Source organism: Homo sapiens, chromosome 16, assembly GCF_000001405.40.
Source record: "Homo sapiens chromosome 16, GRCh38.p14 Primary Assembly".
Classification (NCBI taxonomy): Eukaryota; Metazoa; Chordata; class Mammalia; order Primates; family Hominidae; genus Homo; species Homo sapiens.
This window is the reverse complement of record NC_000016.10, coordinates 57,538,313-57,561,515: the sequence shown is the minus strand read 5'-3', so window position 1 is coordinate 57,561,515 and position 23,203 is coordinate 57,538,313. Positions and strand designations below refer to the sequence as shown.

At 43.4% G+C, this 23,203-nt stretch overlaps 1 protein-coding gene across 8 annotated transcripts in view, besides 6 other annotated features; it reads right to left on the bottom strand.

Moving 5' to 3' along the window:
• ADGRG5 (adhesion G protein-coupled receptor G5) overlaps nt 1–23,203 on the bottom strand; it is a 48,117-nt gene that overhangs the window by 15,674 nt on the left and 9,240 nt on the right. For 2 of the 8 annotated variants that reach the window (NM_153837.4, XM_047433777.1), the window contains exon 1: nt 18,343–18,873. The exons of 2 other annotated variants lie outside the window; for them this stretch is intronic. Coding sequence is in view for 2 of the 6 variants with exons in the window: in XM_047433777.1 (XP_047289733.1) it covers nt 18,343–18,458 (116 nt within the window). In the remaining 4 variants the exon portion in view is untranslated. Of the gene's footprint in view, nt 1–18,342; nt 18,874–23,203 lie in introns of those variants that run through there. 4 more of the 8 variants (NM_001304376.3, NM_001318481.2, XM_047433776.1 and 1 more) reach the window with 3 other exon arrangements.
• Nucleotides 17,110–17,419: an enhancer, noted in NCBI's record as "active region_10901". NCBI's record gives its function as "activates an Ori minimal core promoter by ATAC-STARR-seq in GM12878 lymphoblastoid cells {active_cell/tissue: GM12878}" and the evidence as "EXISTENCE:reporter gene assay evidence [ECO:0000049][PMID:35858748]".
• Nucleotides 17,480–17,529: a silencer, noted in NCBI's record as "silent region_7532". NCBI's record gives its function as "represses an Ori minimal core promoter by ATAC-STARR-seq in GM12878 lymphoblastoid cells {active_cell/tissue: GM12878}" and the evidence as "EXISTENCE:reporter gene assay evidence [ECO:0000049][PMID:35858748]".
• Nucleotides 18,924–19,093: an enhancer, noted in NCBI's record as "experimental_43712 CRE fragment used in MPRA reporter constructs". NCBI's record gives its function as "activates a minimal promoter by MPRAs in K562 erythroleukemia cells, with activity observed for both the introgressed and non-introgressed 16:57576420 variant alleles {active_cell/tissue: K562}" and the evidence as "EXISTENCE:reporter gene assay evidence [ECO:0000049][PMID:34662402]".
• Nucleotides 21,967–22,026: an enhancer, noted in NCBI's record as "active region_10900". NCBI's record gives its function as "activates an Ori minimal core promoter by ATAC-STARR-seq in GM12878 lymphoblastoid cells {active_cell/tissue: GM12878}" and the evidence as "EXISTENCE:reporter gene assay evidence [ECO:0000049][PMID:35858748]".
• Nucleotides 22,047–22,096: an enhancer, noted in NCBI's record as "active region_10899". NCBI's record gives its function as "activates an Ori minimal core promoter by ATAC-STARR-seq in GM12878 lymphoblastoid cells {active_cell/tissue: GM12878}" and the evidence as "EXISTENCE:reporter gene assay evidence [ECO:0000049][PMID:35858748]".
• Nucleotides 22,347–22,436: an enhancer, noted in NCBI's record as "active region_10898". NCBI's record gives its function as "activates an Ori minimal core promoter by ATAC-STARR-seq in GM12878 lymphoblastoid cells {active_cell/tissue: GM12878}" and the evidence as "EXISTENCE:reporter gene assay evidence [ECO:0000049][PMID:35858748]".

The following is a 23,203-nucleotide window of genomic DNA, read 5'->3' as shown; positions in this document are numbered from 1 at the left end:
AGAAAAGAGGCATGAAAAACAGTACAATGGGGAAGAAAGGAGGCACAAAGCCTCTCAGGAAGCTGCTGGAGGATGTGCTCCAACAAAATGAGAGAGTAAATCATGAAAGAAGACACAGGGTACAGGAAACCCTGTACCCTACCATGGGAGAGGTAAAGCTACTCCTTAGAAAACAGGCACAAAGACAGAACAATGGGAAAGAAAACAACTGCAGAGATGGGAGATGTCAGCTAAATTTTGGAGGCTACAAGTAGGTGGCACCTGGTAAGACGTTTAGCAGACCAAAAAAAGTTGAACCCAAGTGCCTGCAGTGGGGAGAGGTGTGGTGTTGGCAGGAGACAAGGAGAAGCCTCACAACCTTGGAAGCACTTGAGAACTGGGGGCATCAGTAACCTCTGAAGAGGGGATGAAGGAAGAGGCTAAAAACAGCGATTGTTGGCCAGGCATGGCGGCTCATGCCTGTGATCCCAACTCTTTGGGAGGCCAAGGCAGGAGGATCGCTTGAGACCAGGAGTTCCAGACCAGCCTGGGCAACATGGCAAAACCCTGATTCTACAAAAAGAAAACAAAAATTAGCTGGGTATGGTGGCCTGCACTTGTGTCTCCAGCTACTCAGGTGGGTGAGGTGGATCCTGCCCAGGAGATGGAGGCTGCAGTGAGTCAAAATCATACCACTGCACTCCAGCCTGGGCAACAGAATGAGACCTTGTCTCAAAAAAATAAAAAATAAAAATAAAAACAGAGTTTGTTGGTTGTGAGTCTTTAAAATGCCCAACTCAGTCCCCAGATCTCCCCTGCCACCTCCAGTATTCAGGAGTTTCCTCACCATCCTACCATCCCCAATCCTGCTCCACACAAAGTTTACTCTCTGGAGAGAGGATGCACCATAATCAGAACAGAAGGGGGAATTAAGCAATATCCCCTCCCCACATCCTCCCCCACTCAGATTCCAGAAGACTGCAGCAACCAGGGTTATGCCCCAAGGCAGGAGAAAAGTCTCTGAGGAGCTAACCATTCCAAGAATAGTATCCTATAGCTACTTCCATTTTTGTGTTCCTCAATGTTATGGCCAAGACCTAACTTACAGTGAAATTTCACCAGTCACCAAGCTCTGCCAAGCAATTAGGTTTTTAGTGCTCCTCTCTTGAATGGTCAACCAAGGATTACTGAGAATTTCAAAACACACATCCTTTCTTGAGAAGCTGCTGGAGGATGTGCTCCAACAAAATGAGAAAGTATATCATGAAGGAAGACACAGGGTACAGGAAACCCTGTATCCTACCATGGGAGAGGTAAAGCTACTCCCCAGAAAATGTGTGAAGGGAAGGCCCGGGTTGATGCTGAACAGCAGGACTAGGGCATTTCCCATCCGGAGGGAGCAGGAGAAAAGAATGCCCTGGGAGGGAGGTCTTCAAGAAAAAAATAAGGAAGAGGAAAAGGAGAGTAGATAGACTATCGAATAGGTTTGAACATCTAGAAAAATTGTTTTTTGAGATGTCTTACCGAAGTTTATAAATGCAAAAATAAAAAGAAGCAATTAATTTCAAGAAAACCAAGTTGTACAAGAAAACGAAATGCCGCTACATGATTTAATATGGAATGTAATGCATATAGTCATAATAGAAACATTGAACAGGAGTTTTTTTAATTGTGTAAAAACCATATTAAGATGATTTCGATTTCCACCTAGAAAGTAGAGAGTCAGATGGGAGTATTGTTCCCATCATAACAATGGGAAAGCCAAATAATATACAAAATCTTTTTTTTTTTTAGCCTACTGGAGAGCTGGGGTCACAGGCCACCAAGCAAACTGGTTTCTGGAGGTAACTAGAACACATTATCTTTGATGGATGAAACACATGATCTGTTTCATGTTTGACAGAGCACAGAGGAATAGGTAGTTGCCGCAAAAGTAGATAAGGAGAAAATGACTAGTATCTTAATGAAATCTTAATGGCTGAGCATTAGCTAGAGTGGCAGTTTACTGGGAGCCCCAGACACAAGGGTAACCTGTACCCTCAGTTTCTTCCTACAGTCCTCCACTGGATGCTCATGAGAATGATGTGGAGTGGGACAGGGCCTGAGAGAGGCCCCATGGTAACATAGCCATGCAGGACATGCCAAGGGTTGAGGGTGGAGCAGGATTACCTGGAGAAGCCCATCTGCACTCTGGGCCCTGCATGAGTGCAAGGTGGTAATTGGCTGCTGCCGAGAGATAAACACCTGCACCCTGGCTTTGCTTTGATTTAAGATGCCCATCCCACAGGTCCCTGACCTGCTATAAAGCAAATGTTGACTGCTGCTGCTGCAGGAGTAGAAGACCCTCCCACCACAATGTTGCAGTGACACTAAGCAAAAGACATCAGTGCTGGGCGCCTTGGCTCATGCCTGTAATCCCAACACTTTGGGTGGCCGAGGTAGGCAAATTGCTTGAGCCTAGGGGTTCGAGACCAGCCTGGGCAACATGGCAAAACTCTGTCTCTTAAAAAAAAAAAAAAAAAAATTAGGCAGATGTGGTGGTGTACACCTGTAGTCCCAGCTACTCAGGAGGCTGAGGTGTGAGGATCACCTGAGCCTGGGAAGTTGGAGGCTGCAGTGAGCCGTGATAGCACCACTGTACTCCATCCTGGGCAACAGAGTGAGACCCTGTCTCAAAAGAAAACCAAAAAAAAAAAAAAAGCCACTGGACACTGGCAAGGAAGAGGCAACCCATTAGTGTCCAGGATTTTGCACTGATATAAAACAGAGGGCTGCTGCTACTACTGGGAAACGAACAGGAATCTCACTTCCACTCAAGATCCCCCAACCAATAAGGCAGAGATTGGTTCCCATGGGGATGAAGGGGAAGAAGTCTGCCTGCACTCTAGTACCTGCACTGAATAAGAAGCAGAGGTTGTCAAAAACTGGAGGAGAAACAGGAACACTTAGAAAGCCCTACTCCTGGGGCTCAAGACTGTCTAAGGCTGAAGCTAGAGCAGGAGAATCAAGAATTCACTGCCTCCACCACAAGCCTTGCACCAAGCAACAAGTAATAGCAGTCTACTGCTGGAGAAGGGACTAGAACACGAAGAGAGATTTCCTCTGTGTTGCATGCATGCAATGCTGAGCGCGGAGTGGGGACACTGGGAAAATTCCTGTGGGACTCAAGTCCTCATGCTGAACACAATGTAGGGACGGTCCACCACTGGAGAAATTTGGAGCCTGTAGTATACAGAAGGTAACTATAGCAACAACAAAACCTAAATCCAGCTGGGCACTGTGGCTCATGCCTGTAATCCCAGCACTTTGGGAGGCCAAGGCAGGAGGATCATTTGAGCCCAAGAGTTCAAGATTGGCCTGGGCAACATAGTGAGACTCCATCTCTAAATAAACAGATAAATAAATAAAACTTAAACCTAAATCAACTACAGATTATATTGACTTGAGGCCTATACTACAGCCACGACATAAGAAATATTCCAATTTCTAGGCATAAATATCATTTACTTTACTACTGTTCCATTACACACAACGCCTGGTAGTTAGTCAAAGATTTTAAGACATACAGAACCAGATCTTAGAGATGGCCAAAATGTTGGAACTATCATATAGAGACAAGATAGCTCTGATAAATATGTTAAAGGGTGTAGTGGAAAAGGTAAACCTCTAAGAACAGACGGGAAATTTCAGCAGAACAATGGAAACTATTAAGGCTAGTCAAGTAGAAATGTTAGAAATAAAAAACTCGATATCAGTGATGAAGAATTCCTTTAATGGGTTTATTAGCAAACTGGACACAGCAAAGTAAACAATCCTTGAACTTGATGATAGTGTAATATAAATTATCCAAATTGAAATATAAAGAGTAAGAAGAGTGAAAATAAAAATTAACAGATTACCCAAGAACTGTGCAAATGGTCTGTATATATGTAACTGGAATCCTAGCTAAAGGAGAGAGAACAGAGAAGAATAAATAGAAACAGAAAGAAAAGAAAATTGAAAATTAAAAAATGGCCAATTTTTTTCCAAAATTAATAAAAGACAACAAACCACAGATCCAAGAAGCTCTGCAAAACCCAATGGAATAAATGCAAAGAAAAACACATCTAGATACATCCTAGTCAAACTGCTGCAGAACCGAAGATAAAATCTTGAAGTCAGCCAGAGAAAAGAGCCATTGTACACAGAAGATAAAAGATACGAACTACAAGAGACTTCTTATCAGAAACTATCAAAACCAGATGATAATGCAGCCATATCTTTCAATAAAAATCTGTCATTCTAAAACTCCATGCCCAGTGAAAATATCTTTCAAAAACGAAGACAAGGTCGGGTGCAGTGGCTCACACCTGTAATCCCTGCACTTTGGGAGGCTGAGGTGGGTAGATCGCTTGAGCCCAGGGGTTCGAAACCAGCCTGGCCAACATGGCAAAAACCCGTCTCTAGAAAATATACAAAACTTAGTCAGGCATGGTGGCATGCACCTGTAGTCCCAGCTATTCAGGAGGCTAACGCTGGAGGATCACTTGAGTCCAGGAGGTCAAGATTGCAGTGAGCCATGATCATGCCATTGCACTCCAGCCTGGGTGACAGAGCAAGACCCTGTCTCAAAAAAAAAAAAAAAAAAAGAAGAAGGCAAAATAAGAACTTCTTCAGATGAGCAAGGAGTTTGAGAATTCATTGCCAGCAGATTGGCACTAAAATAAATATTGAAGAAAATTCTTAGGGCAGAAGAAAAATTATGCCAGTTGGAAATTTGGACTTAAACCAAGAAATGAAGAGTATTGAAACTGGCAAAAATGTGTCAAATATAAAATAAATTACCTTGGTTTTAATATCTGTTTAATGTAAAAACAGTAACAATGCATTGTGGGGATCACAGTGTCTGTAGAAGTAGAAGTGTACCACAAAAATAGCACGACAGGCAGGAGAGAGGAAATGGAAGTATTTGGTTGTGAGGTTCTTAAACTACATTTTAAGTATTGTAATGTTATTCGAAGGTAAATTGTGGAAAGTTAAATATGTGTATTTAAATCCTACAATGCCATCACAAAAAAGAGAAAATTATAAGATACAGCTAGTAAGGCAATACTAGAGATAAAATAATATTATGAAAACTGCTCAATCCAAAATAAGACAGGACAAGAAGAAAAAGAAACAAAGAACAGATGGAATACAGAGAAAACAAATAGCAAGATGGTAGATATAAACCCAATCATATAAATAATTACATTAAGCATAGTCCAAATGCTCCAATTAAAAGGCAAAAATTGTCTGACTGGATTATAAAAGCAAAACCTAACTACATACTGTCTTCAAGAAACACGTACCAAATATAAAGACACCAATAAATTACATGTAAAATGATGGAAAAAAGATATACCAATCATAAGTGTATTAGTATAGTTTCACACTGCTATAAAGAGCCATCAAAGACTGAGTAATTTATAAAGAAAAGAGGTTTGAGTCACAGTTCCACAGGCATGGCTGGGGAGACCTTAGGAAACTTACAATCATGGCGGGAGGCGAAGGGGAAGCAAGCATGTCTTCACATGGCAGCAGGGGAGAGAGAGAGAGAAGGGGGAAGTGCTACACACTTTTAAACCATCAGATCTTCTGAGAACTCACTCACTATCAGGAGAACAGCAAGGGGGAAATCTGTCCCCATGATCCAAACACCTTCCACCAGGTCCCTCTCCAACATTGAAAAATTACAGTTCAACATGAGATTTGCATGGGGACCCAGAGCCAAACCATATCAATAAGTAAGAGGGAATAGCTATATTAATATCTGAAAAAGTAAACTTCAGGATAAGGAATTTTACCAGGGATAAAGATTATATAATGCTAAAGACTAATTCGTCAAGAAAATGTAACAATCTTTAATGTGTGTGCACCTAATAACAGAGTTTTGAAAAATAAAGCAAAAATTGATAACACTAAAAGGAGAAATTGACAAACCAACACTTATAGTTGCAAAATGCAATATTTGTCTCTGAGTAATTGCTAGAAGTAGACAAAAATTGATATAGAAGATATATCAGTCCATTCTCATGCTGCTATGAAGAAATACCCAAGACTGGGTATATAATCATGGAGGAAGGCACCTCTTCAAAGGGTGGCAGGAGAGAGAATGGCTAGCAGGGGAAAAACCAGATGCTTATAAAACCATCAGATCTCATGAGAACTCACTCACTATCACGAGAGCAGTATGGGGGAAACTGCCCCCATGATCCAATCACTTCCCATCAGTCCCTCCCATGACACATGGAGATTATGGGAACTACAATTCAAGATGAGATTTTGGTGGGGATGCAGCCAAACCATATCAGAAGACATGAACAACACTATTAACTATCTTCTTTATATTTATAGAACACTCTCCTAATTACGCAAAATACATATTCTTTTCAATTACAACAGGAAACATTCACAAAAATAGACCATATTCTGGGCCATAAAATAAATCTCAATAAATATAAAAGGATTAAAAGCACACAAAGTAAGTTCTGTAACCACCAGGAACTTAAACTAGAATTAAAAAACATAAAGAGGCCTCAAAAAATCCTCCAAATATTTGGAAATTAAATAATACACTATTAAGTAACCCATGAGTCAGAGACAAAATCACAAGGGAAATTATAAAATATATTCAACTGAATAAAAATGAAAACACAACATAATATTTATGGGATGCAGCTAAAGCAGTGCTTAGAGAAAAATTTATAGCATTAAACGCTTACATTAGGAAAGATGAAGGATTTCAAGTCAGTGATCTATGCTTCCACCTTAATAAATATAAAAAGAAGAGCAAACTAAGCATAAAATAAGCAGAAGGAAAAATAATAAAGATAAAATTATGGCCGAGCGTGGTGGCTCACACCTGTAATCCCAGCACTTTGGGAGGCCAAGGTGGGCGGATCACAAAGTCAGGAGATTGAGACCATCCTGGCTAACACGGTGAAACCCCATCTCTACTAAAAATACAAAAAGTTAGCCGGGCATGGTGGCAGGTGCCTGTAGTCCCAGCTATTCGGGAGGCTGAAGCAGGAGAATGGCGTGAACCTGGGAGGCAGAGCTTGCAGTGAGCTGAGATTGCGCCACTGCACTCCAACCTGGGCAACAGAGCAAGACTCCGTCTCGAAAAAAGAAAAAAAAAAAAGATAAAATTATAAATCAATAAAATAGAAAATGGAGTAGAGAAAAATTAATGAAACCAAAAGCTGGTTATTTGAAAACCTCAATAATATTGATAAGTCTCTAGGCAGAATGATAAAGGGGAAAAAAGGACAAAGTACAATGACCAGTTATCAGCAATAAAAGAGGGGCTATCACTACAGAACCTGCAGATATTAAAAAATAGGAGAATAATATTAACAATTTATGGCAATAAATTACATAACTTAGGTGAAATGAAAAAAAATTCCTTGAAATACACAAACTACCAATGCTTACTCAAGAAAAAATAGAAAATAGGAATAGTCCTTCATTGATTAAAGGAATTGAATTTGTAATTTAAAAATCTTCCCACAAAGAAACACTAGGCCCAGATGGCCTCACTGATTAATTCTTCCAAACATTTAAAAAAGTTATAATATCAATTCTACAGAAACTCTTAGAAAAAAATGGAAGACAAAATAAGTAATGATAACAATCCTAAATGTATTCCTTTAGAAAATAGAAGGGAAAATGCTTCCAAATTCATTTTAGGAGGCTAATATTACTGTATACCAAAACTAGCCACAGACATTACAAGGTAACTACAGACCAACACCCCTCATGAATATAGATCCAATTCCAGTTAAAATCACTACAGGATATTTTTTAGAAAATGACAAGCTGACTGTAAAATTTATATGTAAAAACAAAGGATCTTGAATTGACAAAACAATTTTGATAAAGAAGAATGAAGTTGGAGGAGTCACACTACCTGATTTCAAGGCTCACTATAAAGCTACAATAATCAAGACAGTGTGTTACTGGCATAAGGACAGATATAGAGATGAATAGAACAGAATAGAGAGTCCAAAAATTTGTTCATATATTGATTTTTGTCGATTAATTTTTGACAAAGATGCAAAGATAATTCAATAGAGAAAGGATAATTGATTCAACAATTAGTGATGGAACAATTGGATATCTCATGCCAACAAAAAAGCCATCTTGAATCCATATCTTGAAGCACATACAAAATTTAACTCAGAATGGATCACAGATGCAAATAACAAGACTAAAACTGTACAGGTATACCTGGCTTTATTGCATTTTGCAAATCTTGTGGGTTTTTTTTACAAATTGAAGATTGCAGCAACCCTGCATCAAGGAAGTCTATCTGCACCATTTTTCCAATAGTAAGTGTTCACTTAATGGCTGGGTCCTGTTTTGGTAATTCTCATAATATTTCAAACTTTTTCATTATTATTATACCTGCTGTGGTGATCTGTGAACAGAGATCTTTGATGTTACTATTGTAATTGTTTTGGAGTACCACAAACTGCGCCCATATAAGATGGCAAACTTAACCAATAAATGTATGTGTTTTGACTGCTCCACCAACTAGCTGTTCCCCTGTCTCCCTCCCTCTTCTTGGGCCTCCCTATTCTCTAGGACACAACAATATCGAAATCAGAACAATGAATAACTCTACAATGGCCTCTTAAGTGTTCAAGTAGAAGAAAGAGTCACACATCTCTCATTTTAAATCAAAAGCTAGAAATTTTAAGCTCAGTGAGGAAGACACGTGAAAACCCAGATAAGCCAAAAGCGAGGCATCCTGCACCGAACAGTTCACAAAGTTATGAATGCAAAGGAAAAGCTCTTAAAGAAAATTTAAAGTGCTACTCCAGTGAACACATGAAGCAAAACAACCTTATTGCTGATATGGAGAAAGCTTCAGTGATCTGGATAGAAGATCAAACCAGCCCCCGGCCAACGTTCCCTTAAGCCAAAGCCTAGTTCAGAGCAAGGCCCTAACTCTTCAATTCTATGAAGGCCAAGGTGGGTGAGGAAGCTGAAAAAACGTGGAAGCTAGCAGAGGTTGGTTCATGAGGTTTCAGGAAAAAAGCCATCTCCATGACATAGCAGTACAAAGTGAAACAGCAAGTGCTGATGGAGAAGCAAGTTATCCACAAGAACTAGCTAACATCATGCATGAGGGTGGCCACATTAAACAACAGAATTTCAGTGTAGATGAAAGAGCCTCATATTGGAAGCGGATGCCATCTAAGAGTTTCATAGCCAGAGAGAAGAAATCAATGCCTGGTTTCAAAGCTTCAAAGGACAGGCTAACTCCCTTGTTAGCGGGTAATGCAGCTGGTGACTTTCAATGGAAGCCAATACTCATTTAACATCCTGAAAATCCTAGGTCTCTTAAGAGTTATGCTAAATCTATTCTGCCTGTGCTCTACAAATGGAATAACAAAGCCTGGATGATAGCAATCTATTTATAGCATAGTTTCCTGAATATTTTAAACCCACTGTTAAGACCTACTACTCAAAAAAAAAAAAAGATTTATTTCAAAATATTTCTGCTCATCGACAATGTACCTAGTCACCCAAGAGCTCTGATGGAGATGCACAAGGAGATCAATGTTGTTCTCGTGCTGCTAACACAACATCCATTCTGCAGCCCATGGATCAAGGAGTCATTTCGACCTTCAAGTCTTATTATTTAGGAAACAAATTTCATAAGGCTATAGCTGTCATAGATAGTGATTTCTCTGATGGATCAGGGCAAAGTAAATTGAAAATCTGGAAAAGATTCACCCTTCTAGATGCTGCAAGAACATGTGATTGTGATTCATGGGAAGAAGTCAAAATATCAACATTAACAGGAGTTTGGAAGAGGTTGATTCCATGCTTCATGGACGACTTTGAGGGGTTCAAAACTTCAGTGGGGAAAGTAATTACAGATGTGATTAGAATAGCAAGAGAACTAGAATTAGTAGTGGATCCTGAAGATGTGACTGAATTGCTGCAGTCTCATGATCAAACTTGAATGGATGGGGAGTCGCTTCTCATAGATGAACAATGAGTGGTTTTTTGAAATGGAATCTACTCCTGGTGAAGATATGGTGAACACTGTGGAAATGACAACAAAAGATTTAGAATATTAAATAAATGTAGTGGATAAAGCCCCTGCAGGGTTTGAGAGGACGGACTCCAATTTTGAATGAAGCTCTACCGTGAGTAAAATACTATCAAACAGCATCACATGCTACAGAAAAACATCTTATGAAAGGAAGAGTCAACTGATGTGGCAAACTTCACTGCTGTCTTAAGAAACAGCCAGCCACCCCAACCTTCAACCACCACCACCTTGATCAGCATCAAGGCAAGACTTTCCACCAGCAAAAAAGCGTGTGATTTGTTGAAGGCTCAGATAGATTGCTAGTACTTTTTAGCAATAAAGTGTCCTTTAACTAAGGTATGTACATTTTTAGACATAATGCTTTTGTACACTAAATAGACTACAGTATAATGTAAACATAACTTTTTTCATGTGTGAGACAGTCTCGCTCTGTTGCCCAGGCTGGAATGCAGTGGTGCGATCTCAGCTCACTGCAACCTCCGCCTCCACCTCACAGGTTCAAGTGATTCTCCTGCCTCAGCCTCCCAAGTAGATGGGATTACAGGCACACACCACCATGCTCGGCTAATTTTTGTATTTTTAGTAGAGATGGGGTTTCACCATGTTGGCCAGGATGGTCTCGATCTCCTGACCTCATGATCCGCCCGCCTCGGCCTCCCAAAGTGCTGGGATTACAGACATGAGCCACCGTGCCTGGCCGTAAGCATCACTTTTATATGCACTGGGAAACCAAACAATTTGTGTGACTCACTTTATTACCATATTTGCTTTACTGTGGTGGTCTAAAACCAAACCCACAATATCTCCAAGATATGCCTGTAAAACTCCTTGGAAAAAACAAAAAAGAAAATCCTTCTGACTTAGGTTATGCAAAGATTTCTTAGAAACAACACCAAAAACGTGATCCATGGCAACAACAACAACAAAAAACTGATAAGTTGAATTTCATCAAAATTAAAACTTCTGCTTTTTGAAAGTCATGGTTAGCAAAACGAGAAGATAAGCCACAGACTGGGAGAAAATATTTACAAACACATATCTGATGTTTTTAAAAAATTGTATCTGGACTACATAAAGAACTCTTACACAACTAATAAGAGGACAAACAACCCAATAAATATAGGAAAAGATTTGAACAATCACTATACCAATGAAGATGTATATAGATGGGCCGGGCGCGGTGGCTCATGCCTGTAATCCCAGCACTTTGGGAGGCCGAGGCGGGTGGGTCACCCAAGGTCAGGAGTTTGAAACCAGCCTGGCCAACATGGTGAAACCCCTGTCTCTACTAAAAATACAACAATTAGCCAGGTGTGGTAGCATGTGCCTGTAATCCTAGCTGCTCAAGAGTCTAAGGCAGGAGAATTGCTTCAACCCAGGAGGAGGAGGCTGCAGTGAGCTGAGATCATGCCACTGCATTTCAGCCTGGGTGACAGAGCTGGAACTACATGTTAAAAAAAAAAATGTATAGATGCAAATAAGCACATGAGAAACACTCAATATCATTAGTCATTAGAGAAATGCATATAAAAACCACAATCAGATATCACTACACACCTTCTAGAATGACTAGGATTAAAATGGTAATACAAAGTATTATGAGGATATAGAACAGCTGGAAGCCTCATTCATTTCTGGAGGGAATGTAACATGGAAGTGGAATCTAGAAAAGTCAAAACTATTGGATCAGAGAACAAATCAGTAGTTGCCAGGGAGTAGGGAAAAGATATTAACTACAAAAGGGCCTGAGACAACTTTTCAGGGGACAGCAATGTTCTATATTTTGATTGTAATATACATGTATACATGACTGTACACATCTGTCAAAATGCAAAAACTCCTCTCCAAAAGGGTGAATTTTATTGTATGTATACCTCTATAGACAAGACTTTAGAAATCCAATCAAAAAACATATTAAGAGGATGAAGAAGAGGAAATAGGGGAGGGAGGGCAAGAGAACTGATGATCCTCCTCTTAGAGAAAGGAAGTCAACAAAAACTTGCAAGGCTTCAAGAGGGAGAGCCACAAAACTCAAAATATGTGTTTGATGGTAGTGGCAGAGGAAAGTAGTTAAGAACATGAGTTCTCATTTTTCCACCATTGGATCTGCAAAGATCTGAAATATGATAGCACCCAGTGAGTCTGTAGGGACAGGCACATTCCTGCACTCTCTGTCTAAGATCTGAGCCTCATCTGCAAGGGGACGGCTTAGCAACACATTCGAACTTTACGTTCTGAATATCCTTTAAGCCAGGAAACTCATTCTTATGAATTTATCCTATGGAAAGAATAGGGCAAGCCAGGATTATACACATACAAGAATATTTAGAATAGTATTGTTAATAAAGAAAAGTTGAAAGCTATGTGAATGTCTATCAATAGAGGAATAAATAAATTACACTCCAATGCCATTCTGGAAAACAGTTCGACAGTTTCTTATAAAACTAAACATGTACCTATCATATGACCCAATAATTGCACTCTTGGGCTTTTATCCCAGAGAAATGAAACCTCGTGTTCACACAAAAACCTGTATATGAAGAGTCATAGCAGCTTTATTCATGATAGCCTCAAAGTGGGTGAAAATGGTTAAATGGTGATACCTTTACACTCTGAAATACAATTCTCAGCAGTTAAAAAAATGAATTTCTAAAAAAAAGCTACTGACACACACAACTTGGATGGATCTTAAAGGAATTATCATGAGCCAAAAAAAAAAAAAAAAAAGCCAATCTCAAAATGTTGCATGCTGTGTGATTCAATTTATTTAACAGTCTTGAAATGACAAAATGATAAAGATGGAGAACAGATTAGTGGTTGCAAAGGGTTAGGGAGGGGGAGTGTGTTTCTTTAAAGGTCTCGCACAAGGGATCCTTGTGGCGATGGAACAGTTCTGTGTCTTGATCGTGGTGTTGTTTACAGGAATCTTTTATTTTATCATGTCATAAAATTGCAAGGAAAACCATTTGGCAGTTTCTTATAAAGTTAAAATATACTTACCAAAGAACCGGCATACATAAATGAGTGAGTATAATACAGAATGAAGTCTGTGAACTATACCAAAGACAATTTCCTGGCTTTGATATTATACTATAGGCATGCAAGATGTTACTACTGGAGAATAAGTGAAGGGTATACAAAACGTTCTGTACTATTTTTTGCAACCTTCTGTGCATTTATAATTTTCTCAAAATTAAAAGTTAAAATATGCAACAGATTGTCATTTCACTATTAAGAATTATGTGTATTCTTTAAAAAAAAAAAAAAAAAGATGTGTATAGCCAGGCACCATGGTTTGCACCTGTAATCCTAAACTAAGGCAGGAGAATCGCTTGAGGCCAGGAGTTCAAGACCAGCCTAGGCAACATAGTGAGACCCTTTCTCTAAAAAATATTTTGAGGCCAGGCGTGGTGGCTCATACCTGTAATCCCAGCACGCTGGGAGGCCTAGGTGGGCAAATCACTTGAGGTCAGGAGTTCAAGACCAGCCTGGGCAACATGGAAAAACCCCATCTCTACTAAAAATATAAAAATTAGCCAGGCGTGTTGGCACACGTGTAATCCTAGCTACTCAGGAGGCTGAGGCAAGAGGACTGCTTGAGTCCAGGAGTTCAATGCTTCAGTGAGCTATGATGGCACCTCTGCACTCCAGCCAGGATGACAGAGTGAGACTCTTCTCCAAAAACAAAAAACAAAAAACAGGCTGGGCGCAGTGGCTCACGCCTGTAATCCCAGCACTCTGGGAGGCCGAGGCAGGCGCGGATCACAAGGTCAGGAGATTGAGACCATCCTGGTCAACATGATGAAACCGCGTCTCTACTAAAAATACAAAAAAATTAGCTGGGTTTGGTGGCAGGCGCCTGTAATCCCAGCTACTCAGGAGGCTGAGGCAGGAGAATCGCTTGAACCCAGTAGGCGGAGGTTGCAGTGAGCCGAGATCGCGCCACTGCACTCCAGCCTGGCCACAGAGCGAGACTCCGTCTCAAAAAAAACAAAACCAAAAACAAACAAAAAACAAAGCCATGTAAAAGAAGAGCACAGCATATCACTGAGTGGAAAGGACAGGTTGAAAATAACACACATAATCTCATTTATGAAAAATTATGTTTGTATGCATGCTGAAGCATATTGGGAGCTCTAGAAGGGTGGCCACCAAAATGTTAATAATGCTTTTTTGAGGGGAGAGGTGTTTTCAAAACTTCCTTTTATATTTTCTGTATTGTTTAAATTTTCTACAACAAACATATTACCTTCATGACAACAACAAAAAAAACACAAATATTTTAATAGGATTTTTAAATGCTCCAAATGACTATCAATATGGAAGAAATAATAGTGGCATATTGCTCATGAAAGACAGAAAGCACATTGCAAAACAACCTAATCCCATTCTTGAAAAAAAATCCATATATTTTATTACATGCAAAATCTGGACAGGCCAGGTGCAGTGGCTCACACCTGTAATCCCAGCACTTTGGGAGGCCAAGGCAGGAGGATCACTTGAGCCCAGGAGATGGAGACCACCCTGGGCAACACAGCAAGACCCCCATCTCTACAAAATATTAGCTGGGCATGGTGGCGCACACCTGTAGTCCCAGCTACTTGGGAGGCTGAGGTGGGAGGATCACTTGAGCCCGGGAGGTTGAGGCTGCAGTGAGCTATGATTGTGCCACTGCACTCCAGCCTGGGTGACAGATCAAAACCCTGTCTCAAAAACAAAAAACAGAAACCAAATAAGAAAACACTGGAGTGGGGAAGGTTTTTCTAGCTATGACTCAAAATCCAGAAGCCAAAAGAGAAAATACAGATACATTTTATTACATAAAAATTATTTAAAAAGACACTTCTACCTGGCCAAAAGAAGGCCATATGTAATGTTAAAAGACAAGTGACAAATTAGGAAAAATATTTGCATGTAATAGTTTTATATATGTACAATAGACAAGAGCTGATTTTCCCATTATGTAAAAGTTTCTAGAAATTGATAAGGAAAAGTCTAACCCAATATAAAAATGGGCAAATGGCGGGGCGTGGTAGCTCATACCTGTAATCTCAGCGCTTTGGTAGGCTGAGGCAGGAGGATCATTTGAGCTCAGGAATTCGAGACCAGCCTAAGCAACATAGCAAGATCTTGTCTCTACTAAAAATCAGAAACATTAGCTGAGCATGGTGCCATGCACCCAGTAGTTTCAGCTGCTTGGGATGCTGAGGTGAGAGGATCACGTGAGCCCAGGAGTTTGAGGCTGCAGTGAGCTATGATGGTGGCACTGCACTCCAGCTTGTGTGACAGAATGAGACCCTGTATCAAAAATAAATAAATAGAGCCAGACACGGTGGCTCACACCTGTAATCCCAGCACTTTGGGAGGCCGAGGCAGGAGGCTCACCTGAGGTCAGGAGTTCAAGACCAGCCTGGCCAACAAGGTGAAACTCTGTCTCTACTAAAAATACAAAAATTAGTCAGGCGCAGTGGAGCGTGCCTGTAATCCCAGCTACTCGGGAGGCTGAGCCAGGAGAATCGTTTGAACCCGGGAGGCAGAGGTTGCAGTTAGCAGAGATCACATCACTGCACTCCAGCCTGGGTGACAGAGCAAGACTCTGTCTCAAAAAATAAAAATAAATAAATGGTGAACTTGCACATGTGAGAAATAATATAAGCACAGCTACATTGTTTGTAAGAGCAAATAACTAGAACCAGCACAAATATCTATGAACACGGGACTAATTAAATAAACTGTAACTTATTCCTACAACATTAGAATATGCAGATGAAAAAGTGGAAGCTCTGCTCTTATTGACATGGAAAGCTCTCCAAGACGTATTTTCAAGTGAAAAAGCAAAATGCAGAATAGTTTGTAGAGTATGCAACTTATTGTATCAACTGGGGCACTTTTGTATCAACTGGCACATCCAAGCCCAGCTATTGTAGAGACGTGGTTTCAGCATGTTGCCCAGGCTGGTCTCCAACACCTGGGCTCAAGCGATCCTCCCACCTCAGCCTCCCAAAGGGCTGGGATCATAGGAGGAAGCCACCAAGCCCAGTCTCCACTCCAGTGTCATGAAGGAATTTGCCTGTTTCTTCCAGTACTTTTATAGATTCATTTTTCAAATTGAAATCTCCAGTCCATTTGCATTGATACTGGGATGCACTGGGAGATATAAATCCAATTTCATTTTTTCTCCAGGTGGTCACCCATTTTTCTTAACATGAATTTTTTAAATATATATGTTTATTTTTAATACGAAATAGAGACTATGGAGTCACAGAGGACTGGGTTCTTATTTATTTGGTTATTTGGTTATTTATTTGGCTGTGCTATTTACTTACCCTCTCAGAACCTCAGAGAAAAGACAAGGGACAAGATTTGGGGGAGCCGGGTGTGGTGGCTCATGCCTTAATCCCAGCACTTTGGGAGGCTGAAGCAGGAGGATCACTTGAGCCCAGGAGTTTGAGACCAGCCAGAGTAACATAGGGAGACCCCATCTCTACAAAATTAAACATTAAAAAACCTAACCCAGCATGGTGGCATGAGCCTGTGGTCCCAGCTACTCAGGAGGCTGAGATGAGAGGATTACTTGAGCCTGGGAGCCGTGATTGTGACACTGCACTCCGGCCTGGGTGACAGAGTGAGACTTTGTCTCCAAAGCAAAACAAAACAAACAAACAAACAAAAAAACAGAAAGGTTTGGGGAGGCAAAAGAAGCTACTGAAGGAACTCATTCAGGAGAGATAACTCAGGCCCAGTAGTGGAGGACCTGACAGCACAGAAAGGATCTTGGGCCAATTTGTCCACCCCTTCACTATACTGTTGGTGAAACTGAGGCCCAGAGAGATAGATGGATTTGACCTGCAAGGTGTAAGACCAGGCTCTTACCCCCACTGGTTCCAGGCAGGCACTGAGGGAAGAAAAGCCTGACCCTACCACACAACTGAAGAAATTGAGGCCAAAGCAGAAGTGATACCTCCCCCAGGCACTCCAGATAGAAGCTGTGGTTTCCACCCCCTTTCCCAGGAGCAAACCACAGTCTTCACTTCTGCTTGCAACCTCCAAATTCCCCTCCACATCCCTTCAGAGAGGTCACCATGCACCATCCCCCCACACGCTGAGCCATTTCATTCTCCACCCTGCAATTCATTATTTGTGGCCTTCTAGGAAACAGCAATCCCTTATCTGACTTCCAGGATGGTTCCAGTTGATGGTGGGGAAACCGAATACTGCGTAAGAGGAGTCTGCTTGAGGTTCTACAGCAGGCCAGTGGGCAAGCTGGGACTCAAACCCAGGCCTCCACGGTCCAGGGCACTACCCCCTGCACACTGCAGCCTCCCAAAGATGGTTGGGCAGCTGAGTTGCTTTGCAGACAAGTAAGACTCTATTTAGGCCAATAGAGAAATGAGGAGCTGTGGAGCACAGGACAGAGCCTTTGGAAGATGAGAATTTGATAACCAGTTGCAGTATTCAGTGCCTAGGCTGTGTGACACTGGGCAGGCACCTGACCTCTCTGTGTCTCAGGTTTTCTCATCTGTAAAATGAGGCCAAGGAAATCTATTTCCCAGAAAGAGAAATTCAAACAACAATTTCCCTGATCCTCTCCTGGGAATCAGGCCCTGAGAAAGGTCCAGGGCTCTGATCAAAGTCCTTGGCCAGGAATACATCTGAGCACAAGGCTTGGGAACCCCTGCCTTCCTCCCTACAGCTGACCATGCACCCCCGAAGCCCACCTCTCCCCAGCAGCACGAAGGCCTACTGAGCCAGCCATTCTCCGCACACAGCCCCACCTGCCCCTGCCAACCACAGTCTGGAGCCCCTGCCCCTGGCCTGGGTGAGGAATCAATCAACCTGTGGTCTCTGCAAAAAAGCACTAACAGGCCAGGAACGGTGGCTCACGCCTGTAATCCCAGCACTTTGGGAGGCCAAGGCAGGTGGATCACCTGAGATCAGGAGTCCGAGACCAGCCTGACCAAAGTGGCGAAATCCCGCCTCTACTAAAATTACGAAAATTAGCCAGGCATGCTGGCTGGTGCCTGTAATCCCAGCTACTCAGGAGGCTAAGGCAGGAGAATCGCTTGAACCTGGGAGGTGGAGGTTGCAGTGAGCCGAGATCGCACCACTGCACTCCAGCCTGGGCAACAAAGCAAGACTCCGTCTCAAAAAAAAAAAAAAAAAAAAAAGCCCTAAGAAATGCTATAGTAACCCTATTTCCCAGGTTGGGAAAGAGAGGCCACCCTGGAGCCCAACAGGAAGTCTGTGACCAAGCCAGCAGCAGGTCCATTTACCTGAGACATGCTGTCCCCAGGATCCAATCCAGGTCACTCTGAAAGGAGCTGCACCTGCTCCAGATTGCCAAGCACAAACTGTGTGCCAGGTCCTCTACTGAGCCCCTGACAGCCATCCAAGGTGCAGGTTCCCAGACTCACCCCATTTTACAGATGAGAAACTGAGGTCCAGAAAAGAAACCTCTCTTCACTTGTCCCAGACCTCGCGGGGAAGCTAAGATTCGAGACCCATGCCTAACCACTTCTTAATTTAAATTGCCCCTCCTTCCAAAAGCACAGATCTCTACATTGCCCCAGATGTGGAGCTGCCAACCAGAAAGGGAAGGAGGGTGGGTCCCCAGCTTGCTCACCAGGATATCACCAGGTCTGTGCCCACCTGGACATGGGTATGGCCAGTGCCCACTGAGGGGCCTGTGGATAAGGACAGAGAACTGGGCAGAGGAGAGTGGGGAGAGGCCCGGAGGAGGCTGACCTGAGAAGCTGCCGCTGCCGTCTCAGCTGCTGTCTCGGCTGCTGTCTTGTAGCTTCTGCAGGAAGAAGGGGAAGTCGGGAGGCGTCTGTGGGTGGCCTCTCCCTTTGCCCCACACCTGCACCCCCACTGCACTTCTCTCTGCTCCCTTCACCCCAGGCCCAGGCACCACACTCTCACTTCACTTCTTCTTTCACCAGCAGCAGCCTCTTTGCTTCCTTCGAGCTGTCGGTCATGCCCTGGTCACCCTTTGAGGGTATCACCCCGTAGAGTCTGCAGCTACTTCCTGGGGTGGCTGCTCCTCTGTGGAGGTGCTCAAGGACATGGCAACGTGGCCTTATGCAGTGCGCAAGACCCACCTGAGCTCTGCACCTTTGGGCAAGACATGTTGCCCCTCTGGGCCTCAGTTTTCCCATCTATAGAAAAGGGAAAATGATCCCTGCCTGACCTGACAATTGATGGCATATTGATGATGGCAAAGACCTCAGGCAGCAGCTTGGTCAGACTGCCTGGGTTCAAGTACCAAGCCCACCACTTACTGGGTGGGTGACTTGGGGCAAGCCACTCATGCTCTCTGAACCTGTTTCCCCTCTGTAAAATGGAGATAATGACAGTACCATCTTGCAGGGCAGTGTGGGGCTTACAAAAGGTAAGGCTGGCAAAGTCACTGGAAGTGCTCTATGAAGCCGTCATATTTCACAGATGAGGGACCTGAAGCCCAGAGAGGACCTGGGCCTGGCCCAGAGTTGCCAAGTGGCAGAGCATGGTGGAGAGGGGCCTCCCTGGCCACAGAGCCCAGAAAACATGAGGCTGGAAAGCTGGCCAGCTTCTCCTTGAGCCAGGCAGCTGGATAGGCCTGTCCTGCATCAGCCATACCCTCTGAAGAGCTCTAAGGGAAAGCAAGGAGGTGTGTGTGGGGGATAGAGAGAGAGTGTTGGTAATGGGGAGACGGTGCTCTCTCTTGCCTGGGCCCCATCCAGACTCCTGGGAAAACTGACTCAGGAATGTGCTCTTCCAGCCCTGGGGGAAAGATGGAGAGGCAGCAAAAGGGAGAAACCAGACAGGTCCTAACATGGTCTCCCCGCTCTCTGCCTCACTGGGGCCCTTCCCGCATCAGCCCAAATACAGCTTGCAGGTAGTACAAGTGGCCTCTGCTGAAGCAGGAGGGAGCTGCTCCTTGGAGGGCAGCCAGGTCCCCACCCCAGCTGCACGGTGAAGGTTTTGCAGGGACACCGGTGCACCTGTGTCCTGACTCCTGGGCTACACTCCCTCTGGGTGACTTGGGCAAGCCTTGGCCCTTCTTTGCGCTTCGGTTTTCTTTGATCAGGATCCAGACCTTGACCTCCAGGCTCTTCCTTTCCGAGGTCACCCAGCTACCTCTAGGATTGCCATGCCAACCTCCTCCTTCCTCATGCTGAATGTGAGCCCAACTGGCTATTCTTAGGGCTCAGGAGGAGGCCCTGCCTACCCCATAGCCCCTCTAGCCTGGGTCTGTACCAGCCTCACTGTGCCTTGCTTCAGTTGGGGGCTAAGTTAGTGCCCGTTACTTAGCCCTGCACTCCTGATCCTGAAGCTCACTACCAAGATACTCTCCTGCTCAAAAGCCAGTGGTGAGGCTGGGTGCGGTGACTCAGGCCTGTTATCCCAGCACTTTGGGAGGTGGAGGCAGGCAGATTACTTAAGGCTAGGAGTTTGAGACCAGCCTGGGCAACATGGCAAAACCCCGTCTCTACTAAAAATACAAAAATTAGCCGGGTGTGGTGGCACATGCTTGTAATTCTAGGTACTCGGGAGACTGAGGCACAAGAATCGCTTAAACCCGGGAGGTGGAGGTTGCAGTGAGCCGAGATCGCACCACTGCATTCCAGCTTGGGCAACAGAGTGAGACTCCACCTCAAAAACAAAACGAACAAACAAAAAACCAGTGGTGGCTCCCTATTGCCTTCACAGTCTAACCCCGTCCAACTTCCATTGCCACCCAGTCTGATTGTGCTTGCCATATTAATACCCACCTCCCTGCTCGGTCCCAGCTGTGGTCCCACACATGTACCTGGGAAGCCCTCCAGCTCCTCTCCACCCATCAGGGCTCCACTGGATCCTGCCTCCTCCAGGAAGGCTTCTCTGCCTCCTGCTCCTCCAGGAAGGCTTCTCTGCCTCCTGCTCCTCTACAAAACACTCTGGATGCTTGAGCAGTAGGAAGCCTGCCAGTCTCCTCTCAGGCCCCCAGGCAGGGAGGAGGCCACATACCATCTCAGTAAAGTGTCTCCCTATATGGGGGCTACTTACCCTGGTGAGTAGCCTGCAAGAAGATTGTAGGTGGGACCCCGACAGGACTTTAGATAAACAGTCACAATGCAAAAAAAGTCATTTACACATCTTTTTCAATCTTGGTTGTGTCCAGCAAAAGCCTCAGCTTAGAGCTAAACTGTTTCTTTTGTTTTTTGTTTGTTTGTTTGTTTGTCTGAGACAGAGCCTCACTCTGTCGCCAGGCTGGAGTGCAGTGGCGCAATCTCGGCTCACTGCAACCTCTGCCTCCCAGGTTCAAGCTATTCTCCTGCCTCAGCCTCCCAAGTAGCTGGGACTACAGGTGCACACCACCACGCCCAGCGAATTTTTGTATTTTTAGTAGAGATGAGGTTTCACCATGTTGGCCAGGATGGTCTCGATCTCTTGACAAGTCAAGTGATCCGCTCACCTTTGCCTCCCAAAGTGCTGGGATTACAGGTGTGAGCCACTGTGCCCCGCCGAGGGCTAAATTGTTTTAACCCCTCTCTAACACAGACTATGTCCCTTATTTTTCCCCATTTTTCAATCTTTTATTAGACTTCAAAACAGGACGTCTGACTTTTAAATGTTTTATTGTGGTAAGATATATATATATATACACGCACACACACATACATATATGTAACAAAAGCTACCATTTTAAGCATTTTTAAGTGTAGATTCAGACCAGGTGGGTTGGCTCGCACCTATAATCCCAACACTTTGGACAAAGCCCTAGTGGTAGGACTACTTGAGCCCAGGAGTTCGAGACCAGCCTGGGAAACATAGCAGACCCTGCCTCTATAAAAAAAAAAAAAATTTAGTTGGTCATGGTAACGTGCCCCTGTAGATCCACCTACTCAGGAGGCTGAGGTGGGAGGACCGCTTGAGCCCAGGAGGTCGAGGCTGCAGAGAGTTGTGTTCGAACCATTGCACTCCAGCCTGGGTGACAGAGTGAGACCCTGTCTCAAAAAAAAAAAAAAAAGGGGTACAGTGCAATGGCATTATCTACCTTTACACTGTCATGCAAACATCACCACATCCCATGTCCAAAACATTTTTCATATTCTCAAACTGAAACTCCATACCCATGAAACAGAACTTCCTGTTCTCTACTCCCCCAAGCCCTTAGCAATCACCGTTCTATTTTCTGTCTCTTGAATTTGACCACTCTAAGTGCCTCATCTTAGTAGAATCATACAGTCTTTGTCCTTGCGTGACTGGCTCATTTCACTTAGCATGACGTCTTCAAGGTTCCTCCGTGTTGTAGTGTGTCAGACTCTCATTCCTTTTAAAGGTTGAATCACATTCCACTATGTGTATAATACATATTACATTTTGTTCATTCATCTGTTGATGGACACTTCAGTTACTTCCACCTTTCAGCTATTGTGAATAATGCTACAATCAACATGGGTGTAGAAATGATGCCCCTTCTTAACAAAGAGAACGTTTCTAGCTAGACTTTACTAACGTTGTTTTATTTGCATACTATTTATTTTTATGATCTTTTTCTATTTGTGGCAAGTTATACAAATTTTCTATTTACCTAGCTATATGAAATAGGCTTTAAGATACAAGTAGGTCCTACAAAGTGAAATGATTTAAAGAAAAATGCTAGGTAAATAAGGGCATGTGTTAGTGGCAAAAAGTGGTGGCAGTAATACAGGAAAACAGAACTGCTGAAGTGTGGGAAATATTGACACACGCCTCAAAAACCTGACTGTCCTGAACTGAGTGGGACAGGCTGCCAGAGAGAAACCCTGCCGAGACCACTGGGGAGGTTGACGCCAGATTAGCCTTGCATTCAGAGAGGCGCCTGGGGGTGTTGTTCTAGAAAGAGAACTATGGTAAAATTGAAACAGTCAGATCTGGGATCTGACATCTCATAGGGTGACCCCGGGCCAGTTACTCGAGACGATCCTCTGGCCTCTGCCTCCCAAGTTAGCTGGGGCTACAGGAGCGTACCATCACACCTGTCTAAACTTTTTATCTTTTTGTAGAGACAGAGTGTCCCTATGTTCCCACGCTGGTCTTGAACTCCCGGCCTCAGGCGATCCTCCCGCTTTGGCTTCCCAAAGCACTGGGATTACAAGTGTGAGCCGCCGTGCCCAGTCCAGTCATTTC